This window comes from Homo sapiens, chromosome 2 (genome assembly GCF_000001405.40).
Source record: "Homo sapiens chromosome 2, GRCh38.p14 Primary Assembly".
Classification (NCBI taxonomy): Eukaryota; Metazoa; Chordata; class Mammalia; order Primates; family Hominidae; genus Homo; species Homo sapiens.
This window is the reverse complement of record NC_000002.12, coordinates 164,604,806-164,626,459: the sequence shown is the minus strand read 5'-3', so window position 1 is coordinate 164,626,459 and position 21,654 is coordinate 164,604,806. Positions and strand designations below refer to the sequence as shown.

Sequence of the window (21,654 nt, the reverse complement as noted above, 5' to 3'; positions counted from 1 at the left end):
CTCCTCTCTTATCTGATAAAGGATATCTGTGATAAAGATATGATATCATATTTAATACCCATCCTTTTGAGATCAGAACTAAGACTAAGATCTGTGCTGTTGACTATCTTGAAGAATCCATCTTGAAGAACAGAATGAAAAGCCCTGCTTCATTGAATATTAAGACTTGTTATAAATCATAATGATTACGGCAATGTGATATTGACATAAATATTGGTAAATAAACTAGAGGAATAGAAGAGGGAGCCCAGAGCAGACCTATGGGTAGATCAGCAATTGAATTATGACTAAGGAGCCACTGCAAAGTTGTGAGGATAGGATAATCTTTTCTATGAGTGAGGCTGTGATATCACTTATTCATATTAATAAAAACAACCTATATACCTTCACACCATAAGATAAAAACAGAACTTAAAAATAACTCATAAGTGAGTAAGAAAAAGACAAACAACTCATCATAAGAATGGGCAAGATATTTGAATTGGTCCATCAAAAGAGAAATGTCCTGGCCAGGCTCTGGGGCTCACGCCTATAATTCTAACACTTTGGGAACTCAAGGAGGGAGGATTGTTTGAGCCCAGGAGGTTGAGGTTGCAGTGAGCTGAGCCATGATTGTGTCACTGCTCTCCAGCCTGGGCAACAGAATGAGACTCCAACTCACAAAAAAGAAAAACAAAAAGAGGATGTCCAAATGGCAACTCATCATAGAAAAAATTGCTCAAACTCATTAGTCATAAAGAAAAGTTGAATTCCACAATGAGATACTGCTATGCACTCACCAGAATGTCTATCTACTGTGACAATTCTAATATACTAATTGTCAAGGATGTGAAGAACTGGGGAAGCTTATGCATTCCTGGTAGTGATAAAATCAATACAAACAATTTGGGAAACTGCGATATCTACTAAAACCGAACATACATATATATATACCATGACCTCACAATGCCACTCCTACATGTATACCTCCCAGAAGTGCATGCCTATGCATACCAAGGGAAGTGTGCAAAATGTGCATTGTGGCAGTATTAATAATAGTCAAAGCTGGAAACAGCCTAGATATCTTTCTGCAGTAAAATGGATCAGTAAATTGTGGTATTACATACAATAGAAAAACAAAAAGACTACAGCTACTTGCAACTGCATGGAAGAATATTACAAACGTAATATTAAGGGAACCAAGTCAAACATAAAAGGGCGAAACAGTATGATTCCATTTATATAAAGAGCAAATCTAGAAAACCTAATCTATTTTGTTTAGGGATGGATAGTTAGGTGTAAACTATAAACAAAAAGAAGGATTTGATTATTCTGAACATTTGAATTGGGCTGGGAGTGGTGTCTGAAGCCTGTAATCTCAGTACTTCGGAAGGCTGGAGAAGGAGGATTGCTTGAGCCCAGGAGTTTGAGACCAACTTGGGCAACATGATGAGACCTCATCTCTACTAAAAGTAAAGAGCTGAATGTGGTGGCATGTGCCTGTGGTCTCAGCTATTTGGAAGGCTGAGGTGGCTGGATTGCTTGAGCCTGGGATGTCAAGGCTGCAGTGAGCTATGTTCCTGCCACTGCACTCCAGCCTGGGCAATAGAGACACTGCAAAATAAAAGGAAAGAAAGAAAGAAAGGAAGGAAGGAAGAGAGGAAGAAAGGAAGAGAAAGAGGGGGAGAGAGAGAGAGAGAAAGAAAAGCAAGCAAGCAAGCAAGCAAGAAAGAAACTAACTTTTAATTGAAGGGAGGGGCAAAAGAGGAGTTTCCGGAAGGCTGACAAGAATCTGTTTCATGGCCTGACATCAGTATTTTCCTTGTGATAAGCCATTATACATTGTTGTTTATGAACTTCTTTTCTGTATGTGTGTTATCTTTCACAATACAAAGGGTTAAGAAATTTAATTGATGAGCAGAGAGAGAGAGAGGAATGCAATGAGGACACATTTTCCAGGAGGGGTAGGAAGACTGGGATTCCTGAGGAAAGACAGGAAAGGGAGGGACAAAGAGTAAAAAAGGCCCTCAGAGGAAAGGGGCCAGGGGACAAGCTGCTTCTCTGCAATTTTACAGGCCCAAGTCCAAAAGGCGGACAGCCACCCAGGGGACTGATATTGCTCTTTGATACCCACATATCTGCTTTATTGTTTCAGAAATCTGTCCATTATGAGGATGAAAATTTCTCTTTTAAAACTTCTCTTTCATAGAAAAATACCTCTATTTTCTTAGGCTGTAGCAGGTCTGACAGGATTCTGTACCTTTTATACTGCATAGTTCTTTATTTAGAATCATTTCTTGTAAACCACTTGGATAAAAAAACCTAGTTCCTTTATTGACTTGCTTCAAAAATGTGAATGAGCTAATTCTAAAAACTCTTGGTACAGATTCTCAAGGTACTACTGGGAGTAAATTTAACATTTAGTGCCAATCTACAAGAAAAAATTATTTAGTTTCTCATTCTCAGAGACCTGTTCCTTTTCTTTTTGCCCCTGGTAATCTCAAGGATTACAATGTCTACCCATTGGGGTCAGAGGACGAGCATAAAGCCTGCAAATTGACCCTCCTTGGATTTCCACTAAATAGGAGAATGCTTGGAAAGGGGAGACAAAATAGAGATATATTTCCAGCCAAGGAATACTCTTTCTTGAGGTTAAGAAATTATGGCAATTATGCTAGGATGTGGAGCAGGATGCACCATTGGGGAATAGCATTTCCAGTGATTCCAAAGACATATACAGATTCCACCTATCCCTTTCCCCAAGAAAAAAAAAAAATCAAAAGTGTGCTCTCTTTCTCTCTCTCTCTCTCTCTCTGTCCCACCCCCGCCGTGTGTGTGTGTGTGTGTGTGTGTGTGTGTGAGAGAGAGAGAGGAGGTGAGGAGGAGAGATAGAGAGAGAGTGTTGTTGGGAGTGGAGACAGTGTAAACTTCAGCCACTAATTCATGTGCTCAACTATATTATTCTTAGAAGAAGTGACTGCCTGCAAGAGTTCTGGATAAAATTGGGATAATGATGTTAATGATTAAAGTTTACTTATTTCTTTGTTTCTTTAGTTCAAGTTGTCTGCAACTACATACCTCATTTGTTTTTTGCTGGAATAACCTCAGTATATCTGTATGCTTTTAAATTAAATTCACTTAAACTCAGGCATAGAATCTGTAATTCAGAGAACTGGATGTGAGTGAGGGCTTTGTCTGGCACATGTGTCAATAAATGTTAGTTATCACCATGATTAGTATTATTATTTTCTTCCTGAGAAAGAGAATCACCATTTTGTCCTAGCTTAGCCAAAGTATTGTATAAACTGCAGTGTCCCCAACCTTTTTGGCACCAGGGACCGGCTTCATGGAAGAAAATTTTTCCACGGATGGGGTGGGGGTGATGGTTTCGGGATGAAACTGTTGCACCTCAGATCATCAGGCATTTGTTAGATTCTCATAAGGAGCAACCTAGATCCCTGGCAGGCATAGTTCACCAATAGGGTTCGCTCTCTTATGAGAATCTAATGCCCAGCTGATCTGACAGGGGACAGAGCTCTTGCGGTAATGCTGGTTCACCAGCCGCTCACCTCCTGCTGTGCGGCCTGGTTTCTCACAGTCCATGGACTGGTATGGTGTGGTCCAGGGCCCAGGGGTTGGGGACCCCTGGTATAAAAGATCCCAGAGATCACACCCGCTGTGACCCAGGTCACTTCTGGGCCTTAATTTTGACATTAGGAAAATAAAGAACTTGGATTCCCTGAACTGTGACTCAAGGATTTTCTGTCTTCACGGAGTGCCCCAGGTTTCCTCACAGGTTGGGAATTAGTGACCCCTGGGTTCTCCAGTGGTCGGTGCCTCGGTGGGAGAGAATGCACTGAGATGGGGGAGGGGAGCTGCTGCTTTCTTCTGGAGGCAGTGTTTACCTTTCCCTGGGCAGAGGTTGTTGAAATTAAGAAAACCTGGTAAAGCAGATGCCAGGGACAGATATTACCTAATTTGGTCAAAGAACAAAGACCCTGTGAAACATTTGGAAATCCTCAACGGTGCATAGGGACGGGCACACTTACTGGAAGAGCAGAAACAGGATCACCCAGCATTTCAGAGTAGGGTTGCTGCATCTCAGAGGGTGAGCATAATAATGTCATTACTATTTCGAACAGTCTGGGTTTTTGAGAAGGAAGCTTCTGGGTTGGAATATTGACTCCACCAGCTACTAGTGCTATGTTACTAGTGCAAGGTACTCGATGGCTTTGAGCCCCAGTTTCCTTTTGTGTAAAATGAGATAAACATCTAATTTATGGAGCTGTTGAGAGGATGGAATAGGTAGCGTAAGGCAACCTGGAATTCATTAATGTAAGCTTCTCTCATTACCATAAAACTAATAGTCTTTCTAATTCCAGACACCTTCAGGTTTACTCATGCTTTACTGAGAATTCTCAAAATCTCAGTAGTTTTCTATAATGATTGGACTCCTTGCTCCCTATCAACCCCCCAATCTTTGGCTGCGGAGTGGATGGAAGAAGAGGCACGTGGGGAAGGACTGGGGCAAACCCTCTGGTGTCCTGGCCTCCTGGCCCGGTGGGGACTGTCATGGCGGCCCAGCAACAGCTTAGGTGATCTCAGATGGCAGAGCAGAAAGAATGCAAGGGTATGAGGGTCAGGGCTGCGCGGACCCCTATCCCGCCTGCGGTCCTCCCGGCAAGCCCAGCGGGAGCGCCCGCTCGGCTGGGTCCCCGCCTCCAGCGGCGCCGGGGCCGCCCAGACCCTGGGCTCAGCCTCGCGCCCCGGTGCCCACCTGAGGAGGCAGCGGTCCCGGCCTCGCGTCCCGGATGGGACGGCGCGGGAGCAATGCCAGTGGCCCCGAGCGCCCCGGGCCACGCGCGGGGCCGGCCAGCCGCTCTCGCGCCCTCCCCGCCCCCTCCGCGCCTTGCCTCGCCGCCCGCGGCCCCCACCCACCGGCCGCTCCTCCCCTCTCCCCACCCTCCTCCTCCGCCCCCTCCCCTCCCCCGCCGCCTCGCAGATAGCTCGGCCGCGCGTCTCAGCCGCCGGGGCCCCGAGCGCAGGCGGCGAGGCCACCACACCTGCAGAGCGCTCGGGCTGCCTAGCCGGCACCTCGCCTCCCGCCGCGCAAACCCCTTCTCCCCACGCGCCGAGTCTCCCATGACGCCCGAGCCCCCCGGCCGGCGACAATGACCACTTCCCTGCAAGATGGGCAGAGCGCCGCGAGCAGGGCGGCTGCCCGGGATTCGCCGCTGGCCGCCCAGGTGTGTGGCGCTGCCCAGGGGAGGGGCGACGCCCACGACCTGGCGCCGGCCCCCTGGCTGCACGCGCGAGCGCTCCTGCCCCTTCCGGACGGGACCCGCGGCTGTGCTGCAGACAGGTAGGCAACCCTGGAGGGCGCGGGGGAGTGTCCTGGCTGGGCAGCCGGCGAGGGGGTGAGGAGGCGGTCCTAGGGGGTGAGCCATGTGCCCAGAGCTGGGCCAAGTTTGTAAAAGTCTCTGAAGACAATCCCCTTTGAGCTGGCTCCTACCGGATCAGCAGGACATTGCGATCTCACAGCGCCTTATAAATAGCATCACCGTTTCATTGAGAGCTCTCATCTCTCTCGCCTCTGCCCATCGGTGGTGAAACTAGGAGCTCAGGCTGCAGGCTGATCACCTTCTGTTCCTTCGTGGCCATGCATTTTCACAAAGTAAACTCTATTTTATTTTATATATTTTAAAAAAATCGTAGCATAAATGTATTCACCTCCCACATAGAGTCTTACAGCGACCCTGTAGAAGCAAAGCATGGATTGACATTCGAGCAGTCTTGCTGTTCGGCAGGAAAGAATAGAGGCTTTAAAGGGTTTCCCAATCTCCATAGCATTCAGCACTAAGTGCCTTTAGAGTTGCACATACTTTCGGAAAGAAAAAGGGTTACAGCAATACAAAAATCTATAGTCCTTTATATTCATACATTTAAATGTTACTTTTTTTTTCCTGATTTTCAAAGCGCTCCAACTTCAGTGAAGTTAAAATTACTCTCCAGTGGACTATAGTACATTTATACTAGCAAGTTCTATTAACTTACCGCCTCAAAACACTGCCTTGCTGTTTAATATCTATAAGCGCTTGAAAAATCAACAGACTGTGTGTGGGCAACATTGTGAATGAAATTTGAAGTGAGATGAACCACAGCTATAATTAATAAATCATAACTTCCAAAAGTGATTAGTAAAATATCATAAGGATGAATGCACTAAATGCAACTTAGAGACTGTCAATATCATGGATGCATAACAATGTATGACTTCTCAGGTGATGTTTGGATTAGTAATTGTATAGTCTATTTTTCTGTTTCAGGAAAATTATCAAAAGTGATGGAGTTTCTATGCCTGGTGATTTAAAGGCAAGAGAGAGAGAAGGCGGTGGGGGGGGGAGGGGTGGTGGGAGGGGAGAGAGAGAGAGAGAGAGAGAGACAGAAAGAGAGGAACTATAGGAGATTTGTTTGTATCTAATTAACATACTGTATTTTGACCCATAGAAAGTACATCACAGACCTTTTCTATATACTTTATATAATATGAGCCTTGTCACAGAGTGGTACATGTTCGCCTTAGCACACTTTTTATTCCTGACAGCAATTATATTTTACATTCTGTTTTATGTAAATTACATCCTATGTTCTCTTACTGTAGGAGAAAAAAGAAAGATCTTGATGTTCCGGAAATGCCATCTATTCCAAACCCTTTTCCTGAGCTATGCTGTTCTCCATTTACATCTGTGTTGTCAGCAGACCTATTTCCCAAAGCAAATTCAAGGAAAAAACAGGTATGCATTTTTAAATTTTAAATTTCAAAAATCTTAGGAGTTCTGAATCCATACAGTCTTTAAGGTGTTCCGTAATTTACAGTATTAACAAAGGATTAGCATGGGCTCTGTTAAATAACTCTGTTGACTGACATGGTCCTTTGGCATTATTTTCCATTTAGGGCCTTATTCTTCTAAGCCGTATAATGGGAATGTTAAAACCTACCTCCGAGGGTCTTGGGATGGATTAAAACAGAGAATATATATAAAGTGCAGTGGTTGAGAACAATAATCATTCACCAGATAGGTAGAAGAGATGATCATTTTTAAGCCAGGAATTGGGCAGAGGCTGGGACGGGGTGGGCAGTAGTAGTGGGGTGAGAAGGGGATTGACTGATTCCTTTAATACTTTCTTTAATTTTTCACATTTTCAACCCAAGCCAACCTCATTTACCTAAGGAAAGTGATATAGTGATGCTGTGGCAAAAGGTATTTAGAATTTAGGGTCAACATGTCTTCATTTCAGTGGATTCCTCAGTTTGGAGGCTCTGGCTGCAGAAGATAGATGACTCGTAGTGATAATTAGAAGACTAAGGACCATATCTTTATGATTTTCTCCTTTTCTAGTTTGGGATTGACTTAAGCAAATTAGATTTTAAGGACCAAGCAACTAACAGAAAATACATCATGGCTGTACATTTGGAGGGGAAAAAAATAGTGTATCATAGAATAATTCATCTCTTGTCATATACTTTCTCCCAGTTTTGACCCAGCAAAACAAAGAGAAGCCTCACTAGACAAAATGCACCTTATTCTTACAAGGGTGGAAACAATACATTGAAATAGCCAGGTACTTGAAATGGGAGAAGGATAATGAACAGCGAGGACAAGACAGTTGGCCATTTTTCCGCGTCTATTGCTCTCTTTCTTATTTCTGCACCTTTATTGCTTCTAATGGGTTCAACTATGTGTGTTTATATTTTTAGGAATGGAGGAAATACCTTAGGAAGCAGATGAATTATTGATCATATACAGAAATGATAGAGACAGTAGGAAATATGTTTGATGGAAGCCCTGTGTATATATTTTTGGGGGGAGGGGCTTGAAGTCACTTGGTACACAGGTTTTTGGGTAAGGATTGGAGAAAATGGGAATAAATTTTTCTAGAAGCAGAACTATGTTCTGAATTGGCATCTTTGAAAGGGGGAATAAACCCTTAAGTGGGTGGGACTGTAACTTTGTTTGGGGAGACAAAGAGGAGACTCTCTTGAGACCTTTATTATCAGGATGAGGTTTAAAGTCAGATCCCAAGGAAAAAACAGCCCTAGTGAAACTTCCAAGCTCTTTGAGAGTTGACTTTTTGGTTTGGATAGAAAATGGAAGTAAGGATAATAGATTTGACTGTGTGCCATGGTAGTGGAAAAAAAAAAAAGAGGCCGGGTGCGGTGGCTCACGCCTGTAATCCCAGTAATCCCAGCACTTTGGGAGGCTGAGGCGGGCAGATCACGAAGTCTGAAGATTGAGACCATCCTGTCCAACATGGTAAAACCCCGTCTCCACTAAAAATACAAAAATTAGCTGGGTGTGGTGGCCTGCACCTGTAGTCCCAGCTACTCGGGAGGCGGAGGCAGGAGAATCGCTTGAACCCAGGAGGCGGAGGCTGCAGTGAGCTGAGATTGTGCCCCTGCACTCCACTCTGAACGACAGAGCGAGAATCTGTCCCCCGCTGACACTACCCCCCCCCCCCCAAAAAAAAGATTCTGGCTTGTCCTTGAGCCAGAGTAAGAAAAGGAAATGTCTGATGATGACATAATGGTCATCTGGAAGAATTTAATAGGTAGTTCCCAAATTACTAAGGGCCTGCTATGTTTCTCACAAATCCTAGGCAGTAAGGACCCTAGCTAAGCAACAATACCATGCAAGATATATTTAAAAGATGGGGCTTTGATTTGGGGTTGTGGTAGCGGGTGGAGCCTGAACCAGAAGGAAAGTAAAGGGAAGGATATCTGGGCTGACTCACTTTAATGCTATGAATGGACACTTGCAGAATGCCTGTGTCTGAGAGATTTGTTGATGATGCAGGGTTTGTTTTGAATAGAAAGTGAGAAGAGGTGTTGGTATGCTTATGTTAGTATAGGGGACAAAAGAGAAAGAATGGGTAAAGTGCCAGGGTTAAGGCAGGATGTGCCCTAAGTGTGGATAGTCATCAGACTAGAGTAAGACGTCTTAGAGATTGATGACATTTCCTCAGATCAGGTTTAAACTGGAAAATGGGCAAAAAAAAAATAGCAAACTGGAAATGGGGAAAAGGTGATATTGTTATTGACCCCAATAGGTTTCCTGCTCTGGCCTTGTATCCTGTGTCCACAATGACCTTCTCAAAGAACACTGTACCCACACACACACCTGTACTGTTCCCTGAGCAGAGAGTCCCCGCCTGATTTTTAAAGATCCATCCCAGAGGGCTGTCCCTACCTTTGAAGGGCCCTTCTTGCTGATCTCTTCCTTGGCCCAATGGTTGAGATCTCTATGAAGACAAGGGTACCCCAAAGTTGAGGAGGAGGGAGGCTGCTTTTTACTTTATTTTATGCTTCCTTTTTCCCCCACCTAGACTTTGCATTTAGAACTGATCCTTTTGCTTTAGTTTCTTTATACACACTCAGTTCTTTGAAATGAGGAAGGTTTTGAGAATAGATGACTCTATGTAAGTGAGTCCCCCAACTCAGTAGCTTTGCAACACATATTACCCTTTTACAAGATGCTGTTTTTGGCCCAGTTTATCTGTAACCTTCAGTTGAGATGATGTAAGTGACTATGCGATATGTTCTACTGAGTATTATTTATGGTTGAAATATTATAGGAGAAGATGTCTCTTTACTTTATATTCTCTCTCATTTGTCCTGTTTAACCATTCCAGTCATTTTAGTGATTCTTTTCTCTCCACAGAAAAAGTGAAGAAAATAATTGTACTTGTTATTTACAAATCAATGACCAGAAAATTTGAGAGAATCCAGACTAAAAATGTTAAATTTCATCTGGCCTTTCAAAATCACAGTCAAAAACCATCTTACAAGTCATAAATTTTGTTTACTATTTGAGATGCCTACATAATGCATGAGTGGTAAAGTGCATTGAAGCCACAAATGGGATATGTTTTATCACTTTTTGCAAATAAAATGTCCCAAAGTGTACAATACTGTAGGCTTTCAGTACCATTATTTTTAAATGAAAGCTAGAGTGAGAGAGAATCCATATTCTTTTTTTTTTTTTTTTTTTTTTTTTGAGACGGAGTCTCGCTCTGTCGCCCAGGCTGGAGTGCAGTGGCACAATCTCGGCTTACTGCAAGCTCTGCCTCCTGGGTTCATGCCATTCTCCTGCCTCAGCCTCCCGAGTAGCTGGGACTAGAGGTGCCTGCCACCACGCCCAGCTAATTTTTTTTGTATTTTTAGTAGAGACAGGGTTTTACCGTGTTAGCCAGGATGATCTCCATCTCCTGACCTCATGATCCACCCGCCTTGGCCTCCCAAAGTGCTGGGATTACAGGCATGAGCCCCTGTGCCCCGCGAGAATTCATATTCTTTATTCCCTTTCCCTCTTTTTATAATGATGGCCAGATTTCCTAGGCATCTTTCTTTGTGTTTACTAATAAAGCAAATTTAAAGTATACCTTCCCTTACATACATGGTCCAGAAAAGTTACTTATATTAAAAGTGACTTCCATTATGAACTTAATCTCTTTTTTCTAATTTATGATTTAAATTTATAAGGAAATCATCTGTTAGTAATGAACCCTAAACACCTATTGTTTGAAGGAAAGCAAAGAGTTAGAAATCTTTATTTAGCTCTTGCAGCAGAATCAGTTCTTGTCTTTTTTGTTGACCCCTAGGTAATTTTTGTGCTTGGACATAGCCTGTGTAGTAGCTCTGGTTAATTGCTTCCCAGGACTATGTTGTACAACTAAGTAAGAATAAAGCCTCTGAAGGCTTTAGAGATTTAAAAAATGCTATGAAAACCAGTGTCATGAAATGTTTGAGTTGGATGGGATTTTTCAGATCTTCTATTCCAATATTCTTCTTTAGTGATACGTAAATTGAGTTTAAGGAATGCTATGTGGCACAGCCAGCACCTGAAATCTGGATTTCTTGAGGCTTTGACAGTCCCTTTTTAGGAAGGTACAATTTCTAAAGAAAGCAAGGACTGTAAATAAGAGTAGTATAATAATACATGTGTACCAGTGTTGTTAGTTACAACTCTCCTCATAACACAAGAAGAACAGGGGAGACAAACGCCATTTGTTAATATTCATCTAAGGACCTGGAATTCCTCTTTTTATTTCTTCCCGAAATGTAACTACGTTTTTTCTTCTAGCTTTCTTCTCCATCTTCTCCCTAAAATTGGTCTGAGAAATCTATCAAATATTTGATTTTATTATCAAATAAGATTTATTAGTATTATTAATAACCAGCTTTTGTGTGTGGTTTACGGTCCACAGGATATTATTTCATGGGAACACAAGAAAATGAGTATGTCACCTGCATTTTAAGATTACAAAAAGAGTATGCAAAAACTGGAAGGGATTTGCCCATGCTTCCACAGTTTAAATAAAGGGAGATCAAAAAGAGTATCATGTCTCAATGTGTCCTGTCCCTTACCACACTGTTTCTAGTGTATTCTTTATTAAATTAAGCCTTTTTTTGTATGTCTCAGAAAAATAAAAATTTATCTCAAATAATTAAAAAATTAGTTTTCCATATGCTCGGCCTTTTATTTCTTTTTTCTCTACCATGTCACGGACTTTCAAAGGATAAGCAGATCTCTGTCCCCAAATTAAAGGGCCTCTTATATCATTCCTTTGTGATGCCAGTAATTACCCCACTTTGGACATGCTGAACTTGTATGTGTGGTCCTATAGGAATCTTGTGTGGCTGCTACATTAACTGAAATTTCATATACTTATTTTTCTAGTATACATAGAAGTAAAAGAAGAGAAACCCATGTACATATTGTAGTTTTTCCAGACTCAGCAATTATCAAGATTTTGCCTCATTTACTCCATCTATTTCTTTTTTAAAAATTTTATTTTCTTTGCTAAAGTATTTTGAAGTATATCCTGGACACCCCATCATTGCATCTCTACGTAGTTTTGTATTCATCTCTGAAAAATGAATTTTCTTTTATATCCCAAATGCCATTATTCCCTAACATAAATAACAGCAATTCCTTGATATCGTCTAAAACCATTCATAATTGAATTTTCTCAGTTGGAATGGCTCATGAAATTCTCAAATTACAAACTGCTTAGCTTTCAAATGTCTGAAAATTAGCTCTTTGGAAGTTTAAATTCATTTTTAGATGGAAACAACATCATAAATTGTATTTAGGCCCTCTGAGCTATTTTACAAAATCCCATTTAATTGGAAACAAAACATATATGCAGAAAGAATGATAGAAACAATACTCTCTCCTATTAGGGTTTCAAACAAATCTATCTTTCCAACGGCAATTTGCTACTTTTGAGTGCTGTCACTTGATGAATATAATTTTTTGGGAGAATTTGAAAGCGTGCAGATCTTTGTAGCAGTGTTGAAGCAGGCTTTACAGCTGCGCTTCTCAAAGTGTGGTCATTAAATCACCTTCTTCAGAATCAGCAGGGATGCTTATTAAAAATATGGATACTTGGACCTCTTGCAAAACCCACTGAATAGGAATGTTCTGGGGGAGGTTATAGGAATTTGATTTTTTATATTTTTTTCTCTTTGATATGTATACAAATCAGTGCTACTCTTAATCTCTACCATTTTCAAACTGGGGCAATTGGACCTTTCAAAACTGAGGACAGTTGTGTTTTGTTGACAAAGGTGAGTATGTTACAAATGGCCTTTAGTTGGTATTTTAGCCAGGTATTGATTGTTCAGACAAAACAGAGCCTCAAATGAACCAGCCTGAAAGGCTGTGTTGTAGTACCTGAAGGCCAAAAGGTCACTGGTCTCATGAGAGGCTGAAATTGGGAGCAAGAAAGTCAGCAAAAATCAAGTCAACCACTTTCTCTATTCTCTCTCTTTTGTTCTCCCACAAACATACCACATAGTCTCTGCCTCTCCTTGCAAATTCACATCATTTTTGAGATTTCTTTGCAGTGTTGCTTGCCCTGATTTCATGTCAGTGCCAGCGGCCTCAAGTGGCTGCTCCCAAGTTTTCCACCTATTAGTGGTTCAGTACTTGGTAACTGACTGGGAACTGTATCTGGAGAGGTATGTTAGTCCAGTGTGTCCAGATCCTATTCAATCAGATGTGGCCAAGGGGACAGTGGGCCCTGGACCACTGTTCAGTCTGCAAGGGTGTGGTAACATGTGAGAAAGAGGTACAGGTTTAGTAGGTATGGCATATGGAGGCACTATGTCCTAGGGGCAGCTAGTGTCCTAGGGGAAAAAAAAGATCTCAAACAGGACACAAAAACTAATTCTAATCATATTTGTATGATATATGATGATCCACCAATTGGTTTATTTGACTTAACGTACCCAGTTCAGAGTGTTCAGCTCCTTTGTCTCAATTCACTTAATGTACGTGAAGCATACTTATTGGGCAGTTGTTTCAGTTGATGTCACCCTTCAGGGATGCTCAGCTTCCTTGTCCATTTTCCTGAGCTTACGTCTTACTGAGGTCCCTTAACCCCTGATGACAGGAATTACCAACTCAGGTTCCTTCCCACCTTATGCTAGTTACCTTCATTGTAGGAGAAGTTAGCTTTCTTTTCCTATTTTAAAACTTAAATCCCCTAGCAGATCTTCTATTTGTCAAGGTTTTATTTCTAGTTTGAAGGTTGCCTTTAATTTTTGGTTAATTTGCAGGGTACATTTGCAGTCCAAGCTTTATCTACAATATGGGTTTTCTTTTTAACGTTATTGAAATCTCAGCTTCTGGTTTGTTTTTCCCTGGGGCATATAATATGTTCTGTCAAGAGAAAGAAAATTGGAGTCATCATGGTTCAATATAAGTGTGGATTTTAATTAATATAAAAAAGATTTCTGCAGTCTTATGGATATTGCTTTGAAAAAACGTCAGCTTATGTCAAATAGTAATAAACTCTATTGTATAAGTATATGCTTATGTGTATTTCAATGGTGGTAAGCAGACCTGAGAATTGTCCTTTTGACATTACAGATAAAGGTCAGCTCAAGGGAGACCCCAGAGAATGGCCACAAGTCTTTGCCAAGGCAAGGGAGTAGAAAGAAAGGGTTCAGGATTAATTTAGAAGAGAAATGGCAGGACTGACATAGGGAGACCATCCTTTAATTCTTGTCCTTTTCTTTGGCCCACTCATTTAACATTTTTTCAAAGCCACAGAAAAAATAAACACAAATAGGAGGTTTAATATTCTTAACCAGCTTACAAATGCTTGTATTCCAGAAGATCTTTAATAAATTGGCCATTTATTCACATACATTTTTCCATAGACGTATTGTTACATGCAGTGGTTAGGTGGTCAGGCCAAAGCCTTAAAATCCATAATGGCTCCAAAGTATAGTGCTCTTACAACATTGCGTGTACCGTTTTTAAAATTGCTTCTGTGGAAAGATGTGTCAATATGATGTGACTGAAAGATATTGGAACAGGAATCAGCAAACCTAGTTTTTAATACAGTCCTACTACAGATGAGGGGTGTTATATCAGCCCATTGCTCACCCTTTCTGTACCTGAGAGCTCTACAATTTTATTGTATTCCTAGAGCAAGTGATTCTGATGGCTCCAGAAGCAGTAATGGCTCCTGTGCAGCAGATACAGGAGTCGTGGAAAGCAGGGTTTCTTTTGTTCCACTAGCCCTAGAAGCTCCCTCTTAGCCTCTGTTCAGGTATTCCCATATAGTGACCACACTTTTTTGTGATAAAGAGTATGTTTGGGGTGTCATAGGACAAAGAGCACAGGAGTCACATTCATGGAAATAATTGGGGCAGAAGGGTCTGGTTAAACTAGAAACTGCAGCAAAGTCATAGTTCAAATATTAGAAGAAGAATCAGAAAAGGAATCACATCTAGTAGGAGCCAGCTCAAGTGGTGAAGTTAAAGTACAGGACCAAGCATCTAAACTTAGAAATAAGGATACGAGATAAGATGTGACCACTTGAGGCCGGCATAGGTCCAATACACATTTGGCTCTACTTGGTTTAATAGGTACGGGGTGGTCGTAACCTCTGAATTCTCTAAATTTATCTTTCTCCACCCTCAAATCATTTATTTGATTACTTAAGCCAAAATTTAAGGAGTCCACTTTCTGTTCTTGTTAAGTACTGCTTCATCTTTCATCAAAGTAGGCTTGAATCTATATACATCTCCCCATCTCTGCTGCCACCATCCTAATTTAGCCATTGTCTTCTCACCTACAGGAGCCCCATAAATGGCCTCCTTTCTTCTGTGTTAGCTTATCTTGGTTCATTCTACATACACTTGTTATAGGGAACTTTCAGAAAGGTAAATCGCGGCATGTAATTTCCTGGTTTAAAAAATTTTAATACCTTAGAATGAAATCCACATTTCTTCCTTTGACAGGACTCTCCATGGCTTTGTCCCTGGCTACCTCTTAAACCTCATGTACATTCTACCCTTTGTTCATTAGACTCCAGCCACAGTCCTATCTATTTGTGAACTTAGCAAACTTTTTTTTCTATCTCCAAGGCTTTATCGTAGCTGTTTTCTGAGTCTGGAACCTATTTCCCTGGCTCCTGACATACCTGATTCCTCTTTATTCTCTAGATTTCAGTATAAGGTCATCTCATCCAGGAGATTTTTTTTTTTTTTTGACCAGCCTAAATGTAGCCTGTTTTTTTTTTTTTTTTAATTTTTTTTTCCCATCACATTTCTCAGTTTGTTTCCTTGGCTGCACTTACCATAATCCGAATTGTCTCATTTATCTATTTGGTCTAGTTGTTTTATTCTTTTTCCCTCTATGTGAATTATCTTGGCTTTATTGTTCTTGGGTTATTTCATGGAAAGAATGAATGAGTAAATGGATTATTGAAGATACATAGTTAAAACTAATTTAACAAATTATATTTTGACATGTTTATTCTAATCATTTTCAGTCATCTTCATTAAATTAGAATAAAATTAAATTTGATTAACAGACTCTATTTACCAAAATAAATTATATTTTTATTTTTTAAAATTTTTTCTTGACAATTATTTCTTTGTAATGCAAAAATAAAATTGAATCTAGATCCTGGACTAAGTGGATTTTAAAAGTACGTATCTTTTGCTTTCATTTAACACGTATGAAAATTTGATCCGTGTAATCAAGATATTTCTGATTTTATACATTATTTTTTATATAGTATAATTATAAGTGAGTGCCCAGTGAACTGCTATACTTTCTTTAAGTTTACTGTGTGTTCATAAGATCCACAGCTTTAGAAAAGATTAAGTGGAAATATTAGTTAGGTTTATAGTATGAGTCTCTCAGAGCAAGAGGTATATGCTAGCAAATGTTTTAATTATTAAGAATTAATATCAGTGGTGAATTATTTAGGTCAGTGTTCATCAGATGGAAGTGGGGAGACATATACCCTTTGAAAATACATGAAGACTTTCCAAGGGTTGTCAAACATAGATTTAAGAGAATCAGTTTTCACTTCCTGAGAACCCACCTGTGCTCCCAGTAAGCTCCTCTTGGTGCATTACCCTGGGGCGTGTAAACATCCAGGGCATCACACACAGGGAAAGCTTCCTTTAGTGATTAATCAAAGCATCACAAATAAGAAGGAGTTCCTTTTTAATGTCTTAAGCCTCTTTCTGTTAAGGGTGAATCATGGTGGAAATGAGGATTTTGACCAGTGTTGAAATATTTTGAATTCAGATAGATGATGGTGTGATGAAGTAATCACAATTTTCATTTTTCAGTTTTTGACTTCAGTTCTTCCATGTCCTGACTGTTGTCAAAGAATATATAATAACCCTTGAGGGATAACTTCTTAAGAGCAAAGCAAGGAGTGCATCAGTGAGAAATATTGATTGCTGAAATGGCCTTTTGTCATATATTTAAATGTACTATCTGCTATTCTGGATACATATGTATAGGATGCTGAAAGAAATACTATAAAAGCACTGAATTTATGTAATTTATATAATAAATATGTATTTATAAATGCAAAGAAATCCTATAAAAGCTGAAAGAAAATGCACGTACAAACACCTGATATGATATAGGTTAGTGCTGCTGGTGAAGTTACCTGGGAAGTAGACTTGGAGCACAGGTTTGCCTTCAGGAAGTTTGCTGGGGAGAGCCCGTGGAAACAATACTTGTAGGAATGGACACAGGGAGAAGTTGGGCTGCAGCACAGCCACAGCAAAGGTCCAGTTGATCCCGTAGGAGAGCTCTGGAGCTGGATTGGCCCTACAGAATTGTTCAGAATTAGGGCACAGGTGCTGGGCTGTCTAGGAAATGTCAGAACTTGGGCATGGCAGCTTTCTTTAGCATAGTGCAATGGCAGTCAAGGAGGCCTTAGCCACAAGTCTTAGTGGCTGATACTCTAACAGCTGGGAGAATGAGTGCTTCAGTCTTGAAGGAGGTGGGTTTGGATGTTGTGCCACAGTATCTGCCATAGTTAGTAACTGATCTTTTAAAATGTTAATAGAAATCATTTTGGGGACTACCAAAGTTTTCAAGATAAATTGGTTAAAACTCAAGAATAAAACATATACATGATTTCTTTCAAATTTTGTGTGTGTTATTCAATATTGTACTTACTATTTTGGCAAATCATACGATAAACTCTTTATTCCAATTCCAGTCAATTCCCATCCTATTTTATCATAAAATATTTTAATATTTTCTAATACCTAAAAAATGATATGCCAGCTACTGGACTATTTATTTTTTAATGTGCATGTACCGTTTGCATTCCTGAAAAACATAAGAAATATTTGTCATGGTGACTACTACATTTAATAGAACTATTTCTAATTTTATACTTGATTTTTATTTAGTTATATCCAAAAGCTGAAACCCAATGGTGAAAATGTACAGTAACACAATTGCCAAAGGAATTCTATGTACTTCCTAGCACTTCATCATACTCCCCAGAACTCTTAGTCCTGTATTAATTTAACTTTTTTTCTTTTTTCTTTTTTTCCATTTGTCCAAGGCATGAACGAGGCATTGGCTACTGGGATATATAAGGGGTTACTTTGCTTTGTTCCTAGTTGATATGAGATAGGCACCATCAATGTATTACTTTAATTTTGACTGCTTTCAGCTATTTCTCTTCTAAGATACAATTCATAATTTATTTTTCAGTGTTTTAAATTTTTTTTTCTCAAAATTTAACTTTGTTTGCTTTTTTTTTAGAGGGAGTCTCGCTCTTTTGCCCAGGCTGGGGTGCAGTGGGTGATCTCAGCTCACTACGACCTCCACCTCCTGGGTTCAAGCGATTCTCCTGCCTCAGCCTCCTGAGTAGCTGGGATTATGGGCACTCGCCGCCACACCTGGCTAATTTTTGCATTTTTAGTAGAGATGGTGTTTCATCATGTTGGCCAGGCTGGTCTTGAACTCCTGACCTCAGTTGATCTGCCCGCCTCGGCCTCCCAAAGTACTGGGATTACAGGTGTGAGCCACTGTGCCTGGCCAAAATGTAACTAATTTGAATTGAAAAGTAAAGTTGGGCTTTATTTGATAAAATATAAGTCTGATTTGGCCAATTGCTTTTGAGAGTGAGGATTAACTTTCCAATTATATGGCTGACATTTTTCTTTAGAAACTAAATCTGAAGCCTTAAACTTTTGATGAACATATATATAAGACACATTATAAGACAAAAGCATCTTAGGAAAAAAATTGGAAAGCAATCATGCAGAAGCCTCGTACTTTTGGTTTGGCCAAGGTATGATAAAATTAACACATTTTCCGAGTGTATTAATTTGAACAAAGTACATTTAAGTTGAAGGGTAAAAAATCATTAATGGCTAATGGTAAAGCTTTGTTGATGGTAAAGCTTTGTTGAAACTATCCAGAAATTGATAAAATGAATGAATCTGGGTGACAAATCTTTATCAAGTCAGATGGTTTCTAATTTGTCATTTTCAGTTGTATTATATGAGGTCCTTAACTGATTTGCTGGTTAACAGATTATTAAAGATTATTTTAGCTCTGATGGAGTTCAAAGATTAACATTGCCTTCCACCACCTGTGTGCTTCCTCTTCTCCCTCGCTCAGATTAATTTTTCTAACTAGCATTTATTATTATCTGACATGTGTTATGTTCACATATATATGGATTCATCTACTGCCTTTTCCCAGTAGAACATAAGCTCTGTGAAGACAGGAACTATTTGTTAATTGAGTAAGCTTTATTTATTCAATCTCTAGCATGTAGAATTATGCCTAGCACTTCACAGGCCCTCAGTAAATTTTTGCTGAATGAAAGAATAAATAAATGGAGAAATGAATGGATAAAGAGCTGGGAAGTCATTGTTATTAAGGGAGAGAATATTTGGAAACGTACTGATATTTTAATATAAATGATATCAAATGTGTAAAGAAACTTTGAAAAGTGAAATTTAGTTTATTTTCCAGGAAGAGTCTGATATTGTTTGATGTTAAAAAAGAGCCTGGTCAGGATAAATGTTTGAGTATTGATTTACCACTATAAGCACATTCTAAATTTGGATTACCCTTGGTCAGAATGGGTTCTGTTCTTTGTCTCTTTGGTTCCCTTGTAAGCATTTTCAGTCTTAGCAGCCCATGTATGCCAGTTAAAAAGCATGCATACTTTATAGGGCTGAGTCCAGTAAAAGCTTTTCAATCAACCCACATTCACAGTGGAAGATTACTTTCATTCCTGGGAAGGGTGACATATGCGTGTGAAACACAGTATTCAGATGAAAGGGCTACTTTGGTATTATTTAACTGTGTATTGGCAAGACTCTAGCCAGTATCTAGTTTCTCTTTAGAGCTATTTTGCATTATATTACAGTAGTCTTACTGTGCTGTGCCAAGGAAATTAAGATCAGCTGGAACACTCTGTAGGTCATTGGCTTGGAATCTTAGGGCACTGGGAACTTGATGTTTTGTTTTAATGACCTCATTTAGGCGAAATCTGCCTTTGTCCCAGAAGCCTAAGGGGCCCTTTACAAAACCATGCCTGCACCTTGGGAAAGATATAGAAGAGGTTCAGAGAAAAATGACTAAATATTTAAAGGTATTGGGTCAACCTCCATGTATAAAGTACTTTATAAATTAATTGACTCTTTAGTCAAGAAAGACAAAGAGGAGTCGTAATGAAAGTCTCTTCAATACAGATTTACCCGCCAAGTTCCATGATATCTGAAACATACTTTTAAAGTTGAAGGATGTAATTTTAAGAAAAATTGAAAGAAGAAATGATTACACATCATGTAGGGGCTTATGGGTATTGTGTCGTGGCAAATGATTTCTAAAAGGGATTTCTAGGGGCAATCACTCTTGTGGAATGATGGACCTCCTCCATATTTCTCAAAGTGGGAGTATAAGATGCATATATGCATATGGGATGTGTGGGGATTGTGGGAGGGCCATATGGGAAGTTGCATGATAAACATGGAACACCTTTTTGGAACGTTAACTTTAATTGAAAATATGGGAAAAACATTCTTATATTAAAATAAACACTCCTGTATTTATGAGTAGAATACATAATGTGCATGAATTTTTAAGAACAAATTATACGCCTCAGATATTCTTACCCTGAGATGGCAAAGGCTGTACAATTACTTTCTTTTGCATGTTGGGTATCTCTGGTGGAAACATTTGAGAAGTGCTAGTGTAGTTTTCATTTCTGTGGGAAGTGGCTCCTTGTGACTCTCATGAGGGTTGGATATCTCTTTATTCTTTAGCCATAGTCCTTTCTAGAGCTTCTCTGATTTTATTGGTATCTATATCACTACCAGTAAAGATATTGGGTTTTAAACATTTGAACTATTTTCCTACTTTACTTTTCTGCAGCTTGGCAGGAAATAGCTCTCAACTAAAGTCTCTGAAGACCACCTTATTCCTGAAGACCTACTTTTGAGTCTTTGTGTTGATGTCTGAGCAGTTTTAGACATTTTGACTACTTTTTCCTTCTTGAAATACTTTCTTGACTTCTGCCTCTTAAAGGTTCTGTTGTAGGATTTGAGTGTTGGTATTCCTTAGGGTTTTGTCCTAGAACTTCTTGTTTTCATTTTACTGCCAGGATGATCTCATCTACCTCCACGGCCTCAATTGCAGTGTGCATGTAAGTCTAGGCTAGATCTGTATACTGGGCTGCCTGTTGGATATCTTCATTTATACGGTCCATAGACATCTCAAACTCAGCAGATTCCAAAACAAGTGAATACTCTTCCTCTTAAACTTGCTTCTTCTCTCATGTTTTCCTTCCCTGGAAATAGAATATACTCTTCCTGTACTAGAAAATAAGATATCTTAGCTCTTCTTTGGCTCCTCTTTATTTCTCTCTCCTCATCCAGTTGGGTACCAAGTCCTTTGGGAAGAACAACTCTTGGATTTATCCACTTTTCAAAACTTCTCTGCTATTGCAACAGCTCAGGTCAAATCATCTCTTACATAATTACTTTGAGACTCTCCTCACTGGTACTCTATTTTTAGTAGTTTTCTACTCCTAGAGGTGTTGTATGCTTACATGTTTTTATTAAGGAGATAAAATTCATTAAGCATAAAATTAGCCATTCCCAAATCTACAATTTACTGGCATTTACAATTTACTGACATAAGTGCATCCACAGTGTTGTACCACCATCTCCTTTGTCTAGTTTCAAAACATTTTCATTGCCCCCAAAGAAAATTCTATACCCATTGAATAGACATTCTCCATTCTCTTCTCCGTCTCGGCCCCTCGCAACCACAAATCTGCATTCTGTTTGTATGGATTTACCTA

The 21,654-nt window shown here is 39.9% G+C and overlaps 1 protein-coding gene across 4 annotated transcripts in view; it reads left to right on the top strand.

The window, feature by feature from the left end:
• Window positions 4,978-21,654, top strand: part of GRB14 (growth factor receptor bound protein 14) — a 129,066-nt gene continuing 112,389 nt past the window's right edge. For all 4 annotated transcript variants that reach the window (XR_427085.4, NM_004490.3, XM_047444014.1 and 1 more), the window contains exons 1-2: window positions 4,978-5,341; window positions 6,641-6,773. Coding sequence is in view for 3 of the 4 variants with exons in the window: in NM_004490.3 (NP_004481.2) it covers window positions 5,151-5,341; window positions 6,641-6,773 (324 nt within the window). In the remaining variant the exon portion in view is untranslated. The remainder of the gene's footprint in view (window positions 5,342-6,640; window positions 6,774-21,654) is intronic.